Source organism: Homo sapiens, chromosome 3 (genome assembly GCF_000001405.40).
Source record: "Homo sapiens chromosome 3, GRCh38.p14 Primary Assembly".
In the NCBI taxonomy this organism is placed as follows: Eukaryota; Metazoa; Chordata; class Mammalia; order Primates; family Hominidae; genus Homo; species Homo sapiens.
In genome coordinates this window covers 145,699,725-145,715,235 of record NC_000003.12, presented here as the reverse complement: position 1 = coordinate 145,715,235, position 15,511 = coordinate 145,699,725, and the positions used below count along the sequence as shown (strand labels likewise).

General features: G+C 40.6%; 1 annotated feature.

Moving 5' to 3' along the window:
- Positions 4,879–5,700: an enhancer, noted in NCBI's record as "OCT4-NANOG-H3K27ac hESC enhancer chr3:145427323-145428144 (GRCh37/hg19 assembly coordinates)". NCBI's record gives its function as "activates a minimal SCP1, AML or CMV promoter by ChIP-STARR-seq in naive H9 embryonic stem cells {active_cell/tissue: H9 hESC(naive)}" and the evidence as "EXISTENCE:reporter gene assay evidence [ECO:0000049][PMID:30033119]".

The window sequence follows — 15,511 nt, the reverse complement described above, 5'->3', positions numbered from 1 at the left end:
ATAGCTTGGAGAAACAGTATAAACTGGCAGTGTAAACAAGAGCAGGGCATATATGAATAGTTGAGAACAGTGAATAGGAGTATGACTAGAGAGAAGATAGTAGGGATGGCAAATTTTTCGGGGCACAGTCCAAGTTGGTCTGGTGTCTGGAATGAGACTGGGGCCTAATAAAAAGGAGCGTCTATACAAGAACTCAAATGGGCTGTACCCTGTAGCAACCTGAGGACAGGTCTGAGTTCTGAGAAGGGAAAGTGGTAAAAGTATTGTCCAGTCCTTTTCAAGTTGGTGGCTGAGCTTGGTGAGGTGTGTTTTTAAAAGACCTTTAGTCTATTCTACTTTTTCTGAAGATGGAGGACCGTAAGGGATATAAAGGTTTCACTGAATACTAAGAGCCTGAAAAACTGCTTGGCTGATTTGACTAATAAAGGCTGGTCTGTTATCAGACTGTATAGTGGTGGGAAGGCTAAACTGAGGAATTATGTCTGACAGAAGGGAAGAAATGACTGCGGTGGCCTTCTCAGACCCTGTAGGAAAGGCCTCTACCTATCCAGTGAAAGTGTCTACCTTGACCAAGAGGTATTTTAGTTATCTGACTCAGGGCATGTTGAGTAAAGCTAATTTGCCAGTCCTGGGTGGGGGCAAATCCTCCAGCTTGATGTGTAGGGAAGGAAGGGGGCCTGAATAATCCTTGAGGAGTAGTAGAATAGCAGATGGAACACTGAGAAGTGATTTCCTTGAGGATAGATTTCTACAATGGAAAGAAAATGAGAGGTTCTAAGAGGTGGCCTAGTGGCTTGTACTATAGCATAGCCTGCCTTTGCTGGTGTGTGGCCATTAGGCCTGGTGGAACTGCCATCAATAAATCAAGCGTGATCAGTGTGAGGAACAGGAAAGAAGGAAATACGGGGAAATTGGGTGAATGTCAGGTGGATCAGAGAGATACAGTCATGGGGGTCAGGTGTGGTATCAGGAATAATGTGGGAAGCCGGATTGAAGTCCGGGCCAGGAACAGTGGTAATTGTGGGACTTAACAAAGAGTGAGTACAGCTGAAGGAGCCAGGGAGCAGAAAGTATATACGTCAGGTGTGAGGAAGAAAATAGATTTTGGAAGTTATGAGAAATGTAGAGCGTGAGTTGAGCATAGTTTGTGATTTTTAAGGCCTCTAAAAGTATTAAAGCAGTGGCAGCAGCTGCATGCAGACATGAAGGCTAGGCTAAAACAGTAAGGTCAAGTTGTTTGGACAGAAAGGCTACAGGGTGTGGTCCTGGCTCTTGTGTAAGAATTCTGACCACACTAACCATGCCTAGGAAGGAAAGGAGTTGTTGTTTTGTAAGGGATTGAGGTTTGGGAGATTAATGGGACACAATCAGCAGGGAGAGCACGAGTGTTTTTATGAGAATTATGCCAAGATAGGTAACAGATGAGGATGAAATTTGGGCTTGACTGAAGTAATGGGGGCTGTCTGTGAAGCCTTGCGGCAGTACAGCCCGGGTAATTTGCTGAGCCTAATGGGTGTCAGGGTCAGTCTAAGTGAAAACGAAGAGAGGCTGGGATGAAGGGTGCAAAGGAATAGTAAAGAAAGCATGTTTGAGATCCAGAACAGAATAATGGGTTGTAGAGGGAGGTACTGAGGATAGGAGAGTATATGGGTTTGGCACCATGGGGTGGATAGGCAAAACAATTTGGTTGATAAGGTGCAGATTCTGATCTAACCTGTAAGCCTTGGCTGGTTTTAGGACAGGTGAAAGGGGGAATTGTAAGGGGAGTTTATAGGCTGTAAAAGGCCATGCTGTAGCAGTCGAGTGATAACAGGCTTTAATCTTTTTAAAGCATGCTGTGGGATGGGATATTGGCATTGAGGGGGGTAAGGGTGATTAGGTTTTAATGAGATTGTAAGGGGTGCATGATCGGTTGCCAAGGAGGGAATAGAGGTATCTTATACTTGTGGGTTAAGGTGGGGGGATATGAGAGGAGGATGCGAAGGAGGCTTTGAACTAGGGAAAAGGGCAGCAATGAGGTGTGGCTGTAGTTTAGGAACAGTCAGGGAAGCAGATAATTTAGTTAAAATGTCTTGGCCTAATAAGGGAGCTGGGCAGGTGGGGATAACTAAAAAGGAGTGCTTAAAAGAGTATTGTCTAAGTTGGCACCAGAGTTGGGGAGTTTTAAGAGCTTTAGAAGCCTGACCATCAATACCCACAACAGTTATGGAAGCAAGGGAAACAGGCCTTTGAAAAGAAGGTAATGTGGGGTGGGTAGCCTCTGTATTGATTAAGAAGGGGACGGACTTACTTTCCACTGTGAGAGTTACCTAGAGCATCTGTAATGGTCCTGTAGGCTTCCAAGGTGATCGGGCAGTGTCAGTCTTCAGCTGCTAAGCCAAGAAGATCTGGGTAGCAGTCAGTCAGAGAGCCTTGGGCCAGAGTTCCAGGGGCTCTGGGAGTGGCTGCCAGGTGAGTTGAACAGTCTGATTTTCAGTGGGGTCCCACACAGATGGGATAAGGCTTAGGAGGAATCCTGGGCTGTGGGCATTCCTTGGCCTAGTGGCCAGATTTCTAACACTTGTAGCAAGCTCCTAGGGGAGGAGGTTCTGGAGGAACTCCTGGCAGCTGTGGTTCAGGCGTTTGGAGTTCTTGTGTGCTGGAGATGTGGCTGGGGTTTGTCTCACAGTGGAAGCAAGGAATTGCAACTCAGAGATACGTCGCTACTTGGCTGCCTCTACTCTATTATTGTACACCTTGAAGGTGAGGTTAATTAAGTGCTGTTGTGGGGTTTGAGGGCCGGAATTTAATTTTTGGAGTTTTATTTAATGTCAGGAGCGGATTGGGTAATAAAACGTATATTGAGAATAAGATGGCCTTTTGACCTTTTAGGGTCTAGGGCTGTAAAGCGTTTCAGGGTTGCTGCTGAATGAGCCATGAACTGGGCTGGGTTTTTCATATTTGTTGAAAGAGCCTAAATGCTCACTGATTTGCGAGAGGTTGGATAAAGAAAAAGGAGCATTAACCTTGACTATGCCTTTAGCTTCAGCCACCTTTTTAAGAGGAAATTGCTGGGCAGGTGGGGAGGGCTATTCACAGAACGAAACCGTAAGCCGGACTGGGTGTGAGGAGGGGAGGTGATAAAAAGATTATAGGCTTGAGGTGCAGAGGCTGAGGAAGAATTGGGACTTAGCTTGGCCTGGTAAGGAGCAGCCTGGGGAGGAGGGGGGAGGTCAGATGGGTCTGTAGAAAAGGAAGATTAGAAAGACTCAGCGATGCTTTGGGTTGGGACTGAGGGTACAGGCGGGAGGGAAAGAAGGGAAGATTTGGGATGAGTTGCATTGGGCACAGAGACTAGGGAGGGACTGATGTGTAAAAGAATGCCTGGACGTCAGGCACCTCAGACTGTTTGCCTATTTTACGACAAGAATTATTAAGATCTTGCAGGACGGAGAAATTGAAAGGGCCGTTTTCTGGCTATTTGGAACCACTGTCGAGTTTGTATTGGGGTCAAGTGGCATTGCAGAATAAAATAAGGCATTTCGGTTTTAGGTCAGGTGTGAGTTAAAGAGGTTTTAAGTTCTTGAGAGCACAGGCTAAGGGAGAAGAAGGAGGAATGGAGGGTGGAAGGTTGCCTATAGTGAAGGAGGCAAGTTTAAAGAAAAGGGAGAGTACAGACATGGAGGGAAGTGGTTCAGGGGTTCTTACCCTCCAGAAAAGCAGGAAAGGGGTTGCGGCGCAGAAATAACGAGGTTGGGGCATGGAAATAAGGGATTGGGGCACAGAGATATGAGGTTGGGGTACTTGTCCCTCCACCAGAAAAGCAGGACTTGCCGCTGAGGGTGAAGGAGAAGGGGTTGAGGGGTTCTTGCCCTTCCCCTAGAAAAGCAGAGAAGGGGTAGAGACATGGAGAGAAGGGGTTGGGGTACTTGCCCCTCCCCCAGAAAAGCAGGACTTGCTAAGGATGAAGGACCAAGGCAGGCGTCCCTGCGTGGTCTGACACCTCTGAAACGTGGGTGAATAATCAGACAGGCGTCCCTGCGATGATTAAACACCAAGGGAAGGCTGCCTTCCCAGTCTGTGACCAGCGCCAGAGTTTTGGGTCCACGGATAAAACGTGTCTCCTTTGTCTCTACCAGAAAATGAAAGGAATTGAAATTAAGAGAAGGGAGAGATTGAAGTGTGGCGCCAAGATTGAAAGGAGAAAGAGGTTGAGGGATAGTGAGGGAGGTTGGAGAAGAGAGTAAAAAGAGGCCGCTTACTGGATTTGAAATTGGTGAGATGTTTCTTGGGCTGGTCAGTCTGAGGACCTGAGGTCGTAAGTGGACCTTTCTCATGGAGCAAAGAGCAGGAGGACAGGGGATTGATCTCCCAAGGGAGGTCCCCCGATCCGAGTCATGGCACCAAATTTCATGTGCGTCTGTGTGAACAGACCACCGAACAGGCTTTGTGTGAGCAATAAAGCTGTTTATTTCACCTGGGTGCAGGCGGGCTGAGTCCAAAAAGAATGTCAGCGAAGGGAGATAGGGGTGGGGCCGTTTTATAGGATTTGGGTAGGTAAAGGAAAAAGTGGGCGTGTTCTCTGGTGGGCAGGAGTGGGGGTCACAGGGTGCTCAGTAGGGGAGCTTTTTGAGCCAGGATGAGCCAGGAAAAGGAATTTCATAAGACAATGTCATCAGTTAAGGCAGGAACAGGCCATCTGGATGTGTATGTGCAGGTCACAGGGGATATGATGGCTTAGCTTGGGCTCAGAGGCCCGACAAAGATTCATTAACAATGGGAAAAAATAGAGAAAATAGGCTCTAGGTAAAATTATTATGTATGTGAGGTGTTTATTTTGTTCTACCTTTTGGGAAAACAAATCCTCTTCCTAGGGTTTGTCCGTGATGATTTCTAGGTTAAATTATCTTCACTTCTTCAGAGACCATGGATATAATGTTTGTTTACTTTAGATGTAGTGCTTCCAATGCAGTCTTGAATGATAGTAAAAACCTGAATCTCATTTTACAATTTTTAAATATCTTAATATTGCCAGTGTATGTTGTGGGGAAAAGAGAGATCAGACTGTTACTGTGTCTATGTAGAAAAAAGTAGACATAAGAGACTCCATTTTGTTCTGTACTAAGAAAAATTCTTCTGCCTTGAGATGCTGTTTATCTGTTACCCTACCCCCAACCCTGTGCTCTCAGAAACATGTGCTGTGTGGAATCAAGGTTTAATGGATTTAGGGCTATGCAGGATGTGCTTTGTTAAACAAATGCTTGAAGGCAGCATGCTTGTTAAAAGTCATTACCACTCCCTAATCTCAAGTACCCAGGGACACAAAACACTGTGGAAGTCCACAGGGACCTCTGCCTAGCAAAGCCAGGTATTGTCCAAGGTTTCTTCCCATGTGATAGTCTGAAATATGGCCTTGTGGGAAGGGAAAGACCTGACCGTCCCCCAGCCTGACACCTGTAAAGGGTCTGTGCTGAGGAGGATTAGTAAAAGAGGAAGGCCTCTTTGCAGTTGAGGTAAGAGGAAGGCATCTGTCTCCTGCTTGTCCCTGGGCAATGGAATGTCTCAGTGTAAAACCCGATTGTATATTCCATCTATTGAGATAGGAGAAAACTGCCTTAGGGCTGGAGGTGAGACATGCTGGCGGCAATACTGCTCTTTAATGCATTGAGATGTTTATGTATGTGCACATCAAAGCACAGCACTTTTTTCTTAACCTTGTTTATGATACAGAGACATTCGTTCATATGTTTTCCTGCTGACCCTCTCCCCATTATTACCCTATTGTCCTGCCACATCCCCCTCTCAGAGATGGTAGAGATAATGATCAATAAATACAGAGGGAACTCAAGAGACTTGTGCTGGCACAGGTCCTCTGTATGCTGAGCGCAGGTCCCCCGGGCCCACTTTTCTTTCTCTATACTTTGTCTCTGTGTCTCTTTCTTTTCTCAGTCTCTCGTCCCACCTGATGAGAAACACCCACAGGTGTGGAGGGGCAGGCCAGCCCTTCAGTATGTCTCTTGATCTTGAGAAAAAAAAAAACCCTTCCTGAAAAGAGTGTTTCAACTATGAACTCTTTGGTATAAAACAGCTTAGCCATAATGAACTGGACAATTACCTAGCTGGTATCTGGAATAAAGATAATATTATCCATCAGTTATCACCTACTGCCTGACAGGTACTGCATGCCAAATGTATTGAAGAGCATTTCAATAAAATGACATGAAATGAAAGCATAAGCCAGTCCACGACTTAAGAGTATTCCTGAATCTAGGAGCTATGTTCTATTGTCCCAAGGTTTATTTTCTCTGAAAAAAGTAAGAATGCCAATTTTCAGTGGCATTTGGTATTGTGAGAATAACAAAACATAATAAACACTGGAACATATTTTCAAAATTACATTAATTCTGTAAGAAGACCACCTGATGTTATTGTGTGGCCCTATTTTCATTGAATATATTCAATTTCATTGAGTTGATTCAATTTCATTTCATTAGTGCCAGCTGCTAAACCTTTTCTAGTGTTGGTTTCTTTCCAAATGTAAAGAAAATTCTTGGCAAATCCACTGTTTCTTATTGAATTATGAAAGGTAGAAAATGAATCTTTATTGAAAATAGTATGTAAGAATCTGTTTACAAAATTGGGTGTAATTTCAAATTGTAACTGGAAAATCAGATTTACTGTGTTGGGGAAATAGCATTACATGGCAAAGCCCTCACTTGGGGACACAGGAATATAAAACATCTTCAGGATATATATTTCTCTCATACCCACATGATTTACATGCAGAAAAGAACATACTAATAACGTTAATTAATGTTTCCTTGGAAAGGCTATTTCACTAATAAAGTCATTTAGTGGGACATTAGCTCCATTATGAAAAATATGCTTTTTGCTTAAAATGAAGTATTTCATATGTCTTTCTATATGTTTAAGAATTAGGAAATGCCCACCTATAGCTTTAGTCATAAAGAATTTGAGGTTTGGTTTTCTAATAATTTTCTAAAAGCTTTAATTTATTTTACATTGTCTTTACTTTTCCCCTTCACCTTTATTTTCATAATAGCTTGTTGACTTAGGTTGTTTATATTATCTTAATGTTTTCAAATGTTTTGTGACTTAATTTTTTAATCTGTGATTTTTAAAACATATCTGGCAAAATACCTCACATAAGATTCTTTTAAGCAAAAAAAAGTCATGAAGATTTTAATTTGTTTGACATAAATGAAATATGTTGCTAGTTTTTAAAAATTTTTCTATAAACTCATTATACAACTGTAAAACATCACATTTAGATTAACATGGTAAAAAGATAAATGTTTCTGATTTTCATTTTATTTTTCATATTGACATCTTTCAACTACATCTGACCTCTTGGCTAAGATATTAATATAATAGCTAGATATATAGAACATTAAAAATGGATATAAAGGTAAAGGTGGGAAGAAGGAGTATATGAGAATTATAATTGATTCTCTCTATATGAATCATGATACAATCTTTCATATTTTAATAGGACCATAGAGATTGCAAATTTAAGACTAACCCCAAAACATAGCTTTGTTCTGTATGGATCTGGACCACAGACTTTCTGTAGGACATTTTGTGATTTTGTTTTAAAATTAAAAACAAAAAGAGTGAATTAAGCATGTTTAAAGGTTTTTAAAAAAAACGGTGAATTACTAGGTTTAATTTGTATAATAAATACTTTAAAATTTAAGTTTTTGGGGTTGTTTTGGATTCTTTAAACAATTGTGATGGTTAGTAGATATTTCTAATACAAAAGAAAAACTATTGAGAATTATTGAGTAACCCTCTAGTTAGTTTTGCATATAACAACAATTTGGTCATATAGCACAGCAATGTCAAAGACAAAATATACTGTAAAATTTTGTTTGGCCATTTTCTTACAGGTAGTGTTGAAGCCACATACCTAAAATCTCCTGATGACAATCAATACTATAATTTTATCGGTATTCAAATTATCCATGAGTTGCTTGAAGAAACCTTTCAATAAAAAATCTTTTATTGAACTTCTAAGAGGCATGTTCATGCATTTGTATGCCCAAGTATTGAACAGGATTTTTTCTTACAGAACTGAAGAGAGTAATATGTTAGACTTTACAAAGTTGCCATGCTGGGCACTTAAAACAGATTATCTTTAATCCTCACAACAATCTGGTAAAGTAAATACTACCATCAAAATCATTTAACAAGGCAGAAACTAAAGATTGTAAATGTTAGAACATGTTCAAAGTCAGACTTTGTCACAGCCAGGATTCCAACTCATTTCAACTCTGATTCCAAAGTCTATGCCCCTTCTTTGACATCCTCTTTCTTTAATACAATGATGATAATGATAATGATGATGATGATAACAGTTACAATTTTTTAAGTGCTTAGCATTAACTACCATGCTGAGTGTTTAGTGTACTTTTTCTTATTTTCTTACATTATCTCTTTACATCTCTTTGTGATAATGAAAGATTTAAGAGATTTTTTTATTTAAATCCTCCTTTATTACAGAGGAAATTATTACAAATTACTTAACTGTTCTAACTTTCAGTAAGAAGAGCTAAGTAATTTGTACCAAATTATGTAGCTCATAAGTGGACCTGCTAGGAGGTAAACAACTATGACTGTCTGAAATCACAGCTAAGGCCTTTAACCTTCATTCAGAGTTGATTTCAATCTGAGGCTTTGAAAAGAATAAAAAGAAAGCTGAATGCATTTATATAAGATAGGATCATCCTTCCAAATAGCTCTCACTACTTCAAAAAGATTCACTAGTCACTGACAAAATTATGTGGTGGCTACAGTCAAAGTAGGAACATCAATATTTTTCTCTCTTTCATTTATTTGTCTATTAAGATAATTTGATCTCATTTTGAAGTAAAACATTCAAGGGTTCTCTTTAGTTTTCTAAGAAGAAAGTGACAAAAAAGGAGTGTGTGTGTGTGTGTGTGTGTGTGTGTGTGACAGAGAGACAGAGAGAGAGAGTAGTGTTTGCGGCTTAAGAGATAGTTCTAGAGGTAGTCATTGTCTTCAGTGTACAAACTATCAGAGCAATTTCAACCATACATTTTATACGTGTCTTTAATATTTGACAACTAGAGAGGGACAATAAAGTAGAAGCAGCAGCTTTAGGGTAATACAAATTGTGGTCCTGCTGCTATGTTTCAGTTGAAGAAAGTGCAAATATAATATTGCAGGTACTGGAGAATTCACACTCTGCATGTTTATGGTGAAGTTGTCTGTAATGAATGTGAAAGTATCATAGGAATAAAACTGAACACTACAAAAGTACAGAATGCTGCAATTAAAATATTTGAAACATTTATAAGGTGGATCCATTAATTATGTCTTTTTATAAGGCAATTATCCTAACAGAAAGTAAATAGGTTGTAGTGTTAAGACAGATATAAATCTGAATTCAGATGCTATAATGCTATAATATTTTAAAATATGTGTGGTCTTCTGCATTTACTTAACTTTGATGTTCCAGTTTTTATTATCTTTTGAATAGGAATAATGATATCTACTGCACAGTACTGGTAGAAAGATTCTATCTCTACATAGTGCCTGACACATGGAAGATGATTAATGAACAGTGCCTACTTTTAAAAATAACATAATCTCTGTCTTTAAGATGATGAGCATCTTCTCACTGTGTCTTCACATGGCAGAAAGGGGAAGGGAGCTCTCTGGGGTCTCTTTCACAAGGACACTAATCCCATTCATGGGGGTTCTACCCTCATGACTTAATTACTTCCCAAAGGCCCCACATCCAAATATCATCACTTTGGGTATCAGGTTTCAACACATGAATTTGGGGGAGGGGGAATACCAACATTCAATCTACAGCAGAAGGAATGCTAGAATTGATTTAAAGATAGTCATCTGTATTCTGTGAATCCCACCACCATCTCTCATGGGAAGGCTCTACTCTTCTCCCTCCCATCTTCTTCAACAAGACCACTTGAGAGCTCGATATTTACCAGAGTCTAGACCAGCAAGTGACTCACACTTGAAAATGTCGCTAAGCAGAAGTCTGTCTGTACCTCTCTGTGATGGCCAAGCAGAAGCAAGATGCACTCCACGGGAGCAGATTCATTCCCACCATTCTGCCTGATCAGGCCGTGTGACTTTCCTTTGGGCCACATGAGCATCCCAGAATGTAACCAGGCTGACACCATTTAGGAAAACCCCTGCCCCAATGGGAAGCCTGCTAAATCAAAGTAACCCAGAAGGAAGAGTCTCTGGGGTATAAACCATTTAGGATATTTCTAGGGGAGTAGGAGAGTAGGATGTGATGGTTGGTTGAGAGTTCGCTGTCTGCATCATGGACCTGTCAGTAAAAAGGGCTATTATAAAGTTTCAGTCAAACCAAACCAAACAAGATGGCACAAAACAAAACCCATAGGCATGCTTTCAAAAAGAGTAGTCAACACTAAACATCAATGAAGCCCAGGAAATATCAGTTTTAAAGGATCCGTAAGCTCAGAGAGATCCCCCACCAGATAATGACAGCACTAGTCAAGTAAAAACTTTCTTGCCTCTGTTTCTTTCAGTACTTCTTCCCTAGGCATGACACACCATGCCTAGAAAGAGGTAGTGAAGAAACAGTGCAAAGTAGGGAAGTAGGGAGGAAGACAGAACACCCCATTCCTTATTTTTGCTTTGTAGTCTTTCAGAGATGCTCACTAAGAGAGGAGAGCAGGTTTAAATTTAGGTTTCAAACATTAATTATATTGTGTTTGTATTAGTTGTCTATGACAGTATTAGAAATCACCACAAACATAGTGGCTTAAAACAATATAAATTAAGTAGACCACAGTTTTCCATGTTAGAAGTTCAGCATTGCTTAACTGGGTTATCTCCTTAGAGTCTCATAAGGCCAAAATCAAGGTGCTGACCAGAGCTACATTGCATTTGGAACTTGCAGTCCTCTTCCAAGCTTATGCCTGTTTTTGGCAGAGTACAGTTCCTTGTTGTTGCAGAATTTAATCCCCATTTCCTTGCTGGCTGTGTGCCAGGGACCTCACTCATCTCCTTAAGAGCAACCAACTTCTTCTCATATGGCTCACTCCATGTTTAAAGCTAGCAAGAGAGCAATGAGTCCTTCTCTGACTTTCTCTTCTGCCTCAGCCTGGGACAGTCTTTGATTTAAGGGCTCATGTGATTAGTTCAGGAATAACCTGATTATCTCCCTATCTTAAAGTCAACTCTGCCATATCACATAACACAAATACAGAAGTGATATCATTTTCAAGTGTCTCCAAGATTTATGTGGGAATCTAAATCTAAAATGGGGGTCCATTTTAGAAATTATGCTTAATACAAGATTGAGACTTCAATTATTAAAATGATATCTTTTTTTCACTCAGAATGACTAGACAGCTTTTCATTATCTGAGAGGAACTAATAAAACAATAGGCTCTGCAGAAGATTTGATTAAATGAGGAAAAAAGAATTACCTCCACAAATTGTGGCTGAGTGAATAGTGGTGGTAGTTGGTAAGAGGATGTTCCTTTTATGTTGCTTGTACCCTATGGAGGTTTTGATTTAAACAAAATGAACAGCCTTAAATAAATTGTGGTTTGTGGTAGAAGGATATAACTCACCTACAGAGCCCTCCCCGACTCTCCCCAACGAAGATCCAGGGAAATGAATGTGATCTTATTATCTTTTTAGCCTGGTATATCCTGCTGTCATTCCACCTAGGTCAGAGGGCAAGAATCTGCAGCGATTTATATAAGTCAGTGTCCTGATGCCCAGAGAGGTATGGACAACGGGGGAGAGTGCATATGGAAGGGCAAACAAAGAATTTATTCTCTCATATTTCAGCCAGAGTTCTAAAATCAAGGTGTCAGCAGGATTGGTTCCTTCAGGAGACTCTGAGAAACGATTTGTTCCATGTTTCTCTCTTAGTTTCTGGCAAACCTTGGTGTCTCTTAGCTTATACACGTATCACCCCAATCTCTACCTCCATTTTCACATGATTTTCCTCTGTGTCACTGTGAGTCAAGTCTTCCACTTCTTTCTCTTACAAGTCCAGTCACTGGACTTAGGATTTACCCTAAATACAGGAGGCTTTCCTTCTGAGATCCTTAACTTAATCACATCTGAAAGACCCCATTTTCAATAACGTCACTCACAGGTACAGGAGGTTAGGAATGCATTATTGAACTCACTACTCAATAATTTTGCAGGAGAATTTCTATATATGGTGAATTCAACAGACTCATATGATCACTAGTTATCTAAACCTTGTCTGAAAAGTATATAATGAGGGTGTGGTTTGAGAGTTGGCTTGATAAGAAACAAAAATGGTCAAATTGTAGCAGGAAGTATGTTTGAAAAAGACAGCTAAAGGGGAAAGAAAGATCTGTCAGAGGGTCCCACATTTTGCAGCCTGCAGGCCTGCTTTCAGATTACCTCTACTCGTGTTTCAACAATACCTGAGGTATTTATCCAGGTAGAGCGGAAGGTGTTGTCAATCACACGCTCCTCCGAGTTAGGCTGAAAGAAAGTCTAGAGCAGTTCTGTTGTCTGAAGCAACCTTCCTGAGAGAGTTGAGTGATGTCTTCTGGGCTGCCAGGGAAGTAGCAGTGGAGGAGGCAACATCTGCCATGGTCAGGGTCAGGGTTCTCATCATGTTTCATGAGCACCGACTACTATGTATACTACAAAATATCTTGAAAAGAAAACAAATTCAGATTCAGTCAAACCTCCTGGCACATCCCTAGTAAGCCTGGTGTATAGCTTTAGGCTGCAGGCTTACTCGTGCACCCCATTCCCATAGTGATATCGAGGCACACCCCCAGGACTCCCAATGTGCAGGATCCCACCATCTGCCAGCTTTCCAGGGATGATATTGCCCATCTTGTATTTGGGTCACCCTTGTACTGTCCACAGAGAAGTTGTAGTCCTTGGGTACACACAGCACCCCTTCACCTGTTTTCTTATTCAATGTCATTCATGGGTGTGGCACTGGCTTTTGCCAACAGTCTTACTGTTGACACAGTTGCACAGGCTCTGTTTTCCCCATGCAATATTATTCATGAACCCCCTACACAGGATCAGCACTAGTTTAGTGCTTGTTTTTGTCATTGCCACTGGAGCACTTGTTTTTCAAGTAATCAAAGGAATATGCTGCATCAAAGTACTAGGCCAACAAGGTTTAGTTACTTGTGGTAATCTTAGTTGTGGGCATTTTGCCGTAGAGTCAATTAAATTAAAATGGGGCACCTGCAGCTCCCTGCCATGTGGTGGGTGCCAGATCCTCACCTGATAATCCAGGGCTCGGGTTCTGGTGATATACCCTCTGGCCTTAGAGATGCTGGTGTCCTTTGCTGCTGGCAGAATGAGAGGGTCGTTGTGGTCTGTGACAGATTGAGGTCGGGGATAGCAGATCCAACACTTTGTCAGTTTGTCCGCAGTGGCCACAGCTTGGGAGAGCCTAATTAAGGCATTATGATTTTGGGTCTTTATTGCCATGTTCTTGTGGGAAAACAGCAGACTGACAGGTTAGTTCCTCACCCCATATCCCTCCTGGGGTCTCAGGAGTTTCCTACATATCAGATAGAAAATAGGCTGACTTGCTGTAATGACCCAGTCCTGTCTGTCCCAGACCCAAGGCTACTATACTACATTTGTGGGCACGCATTGCCCTTGTTGGCCCTTGTAGCTTGACTTTGATCTTTCCATTCCCATCCTTCAGTCCAGGGAGGCAGATCATGTCTTGTACAAACTTGACATATTTCATAATGTTGCTATTAGACTGGAAGGATCAGATGTCCTCATTGCCACCAGAAGGATCCTAACACTATAGTGTTCCTTAGTCCTGTCCCCCCACCCTGTGAGATCCTATAGAAAGGGGTCACCCTGAAGGAGCATTGCCTCCAAATTAAATTGGGGGGTCCTGTCTGAGGTTCTAGGGTAAGTTCAACTGCAAACAACCCCCAGCACATGTACTTTAAAGGGAAAGAGGAAAAAAAATAATGGCTTAGAACACAGATTAGAGTTTTCCTAGGTACAGCCTGATCAGGCAGCTGCCTGGTCCACCTCCACCCCTACGAAACTCAGTGTTTCTCAAGGTGAGCTGCAGTGTCATGTTTTCCTTCCATTGGAGTGCAGTGTTTAGTGTCCACACTGCCCTAGTCCAATTCCTCCACCCTCCCTATTCCTTTTAACCAGCTTTATTTTTTAGGTATATCACTGATCATTTTATAACATATTATAAATTCATTATACATTTGTATGTTATCTTTCTAATTTTTAAGGAAATTAGATAACTTTTACCACTTAATGGCACTTAAATAATAAGGTAATCATCAAGAATGAGGTAATCTAAATCTGAAAGTGCAAATAGGGTCTGTATGAATTTGTTATAAATTCTATGTGATTATATAAAACATAAAATTATGATTTATAACTTCAAAAATGCTTTCATAGTACTTGCTGTCTTGACGGTTAACTTTCACTAAATTAAAGACAAATCTTTTCACAAGAGATGTTAATGCCATGTCATGGAATAACCTAGAAGATTAAAATAAAAAGAGGTGAAGTCGCCTTGGGGGTGAGAGAGGATATAATGACTTCAGGATAATTACAAGAATTTAAGTGTAAGTTATTTTATTTTATTTTATTTTGAGACAGGATCTTGCTCTGTAGCATAGGCTAGAGTACAATGGTGCAATCATAGCTCACTGCAGCCTCAAACTCCTGGGTTCAAGTGATCTTCCTGCCTCATCCTCCCAAGTAGCTGGGACTACAGGCACCCCTGGCTGATTGTTTTCAATTTTAATTTTGTATAGTCAAGATCTCCCTATATTGCCCAGATTGGTCTCGAACTCCTGGCCCCGTGATCTTCCTGGCTTGGCCTCCCAAGTGATGTTATTATAGACCTGAACAACCATACCTGGCTGTGTAAGAATTTTTTAAAAGAAGCAGTTTTGACTAATGTATGCCTTATGATTATTAATAACATTTAAAGGGCAGAACATCTGAGAAAAATTAGACTAATTATTTTTAAGCAAATTATAGAAAGACTGTGATATTTTCATACATAAGAATAATTTTCTTTATAATTCATGCAGAAAATGATGCTTTAAGAAATCAGAATATAGCCTAATTCTTTCACTTAAGTAAATTGTTTGCTTTTTCTTATAAATGTCCAAATAATTCTCTCTTTATACTTCAGTTTTAATGTCTTTTCTGATTATAATTCAGAAATCATTTTGTTTGGTGAGGTTGTGTTTCCCTGTACCTAGAATAATCACTGGCAAATAGCTGGCAATTGATAAATATTTATTGAATGACTAAATAAATAATTGATGAATAAATTTAAACACCATAAATTTTAGTGATAATCCTATTCTATCTGACGTGGAAAAGTTATGCCCTTTAGAATTTCATGATTAAAGCTTTCTTCTTTTTTTTTTTTTTTTGTTTGTTTTGTTTTTTGAGACCAAGTGCAGTGGTGCAAACTTGGCTCACTGCAACCTCCACCCCCTGGGTTCAAATGATTCTG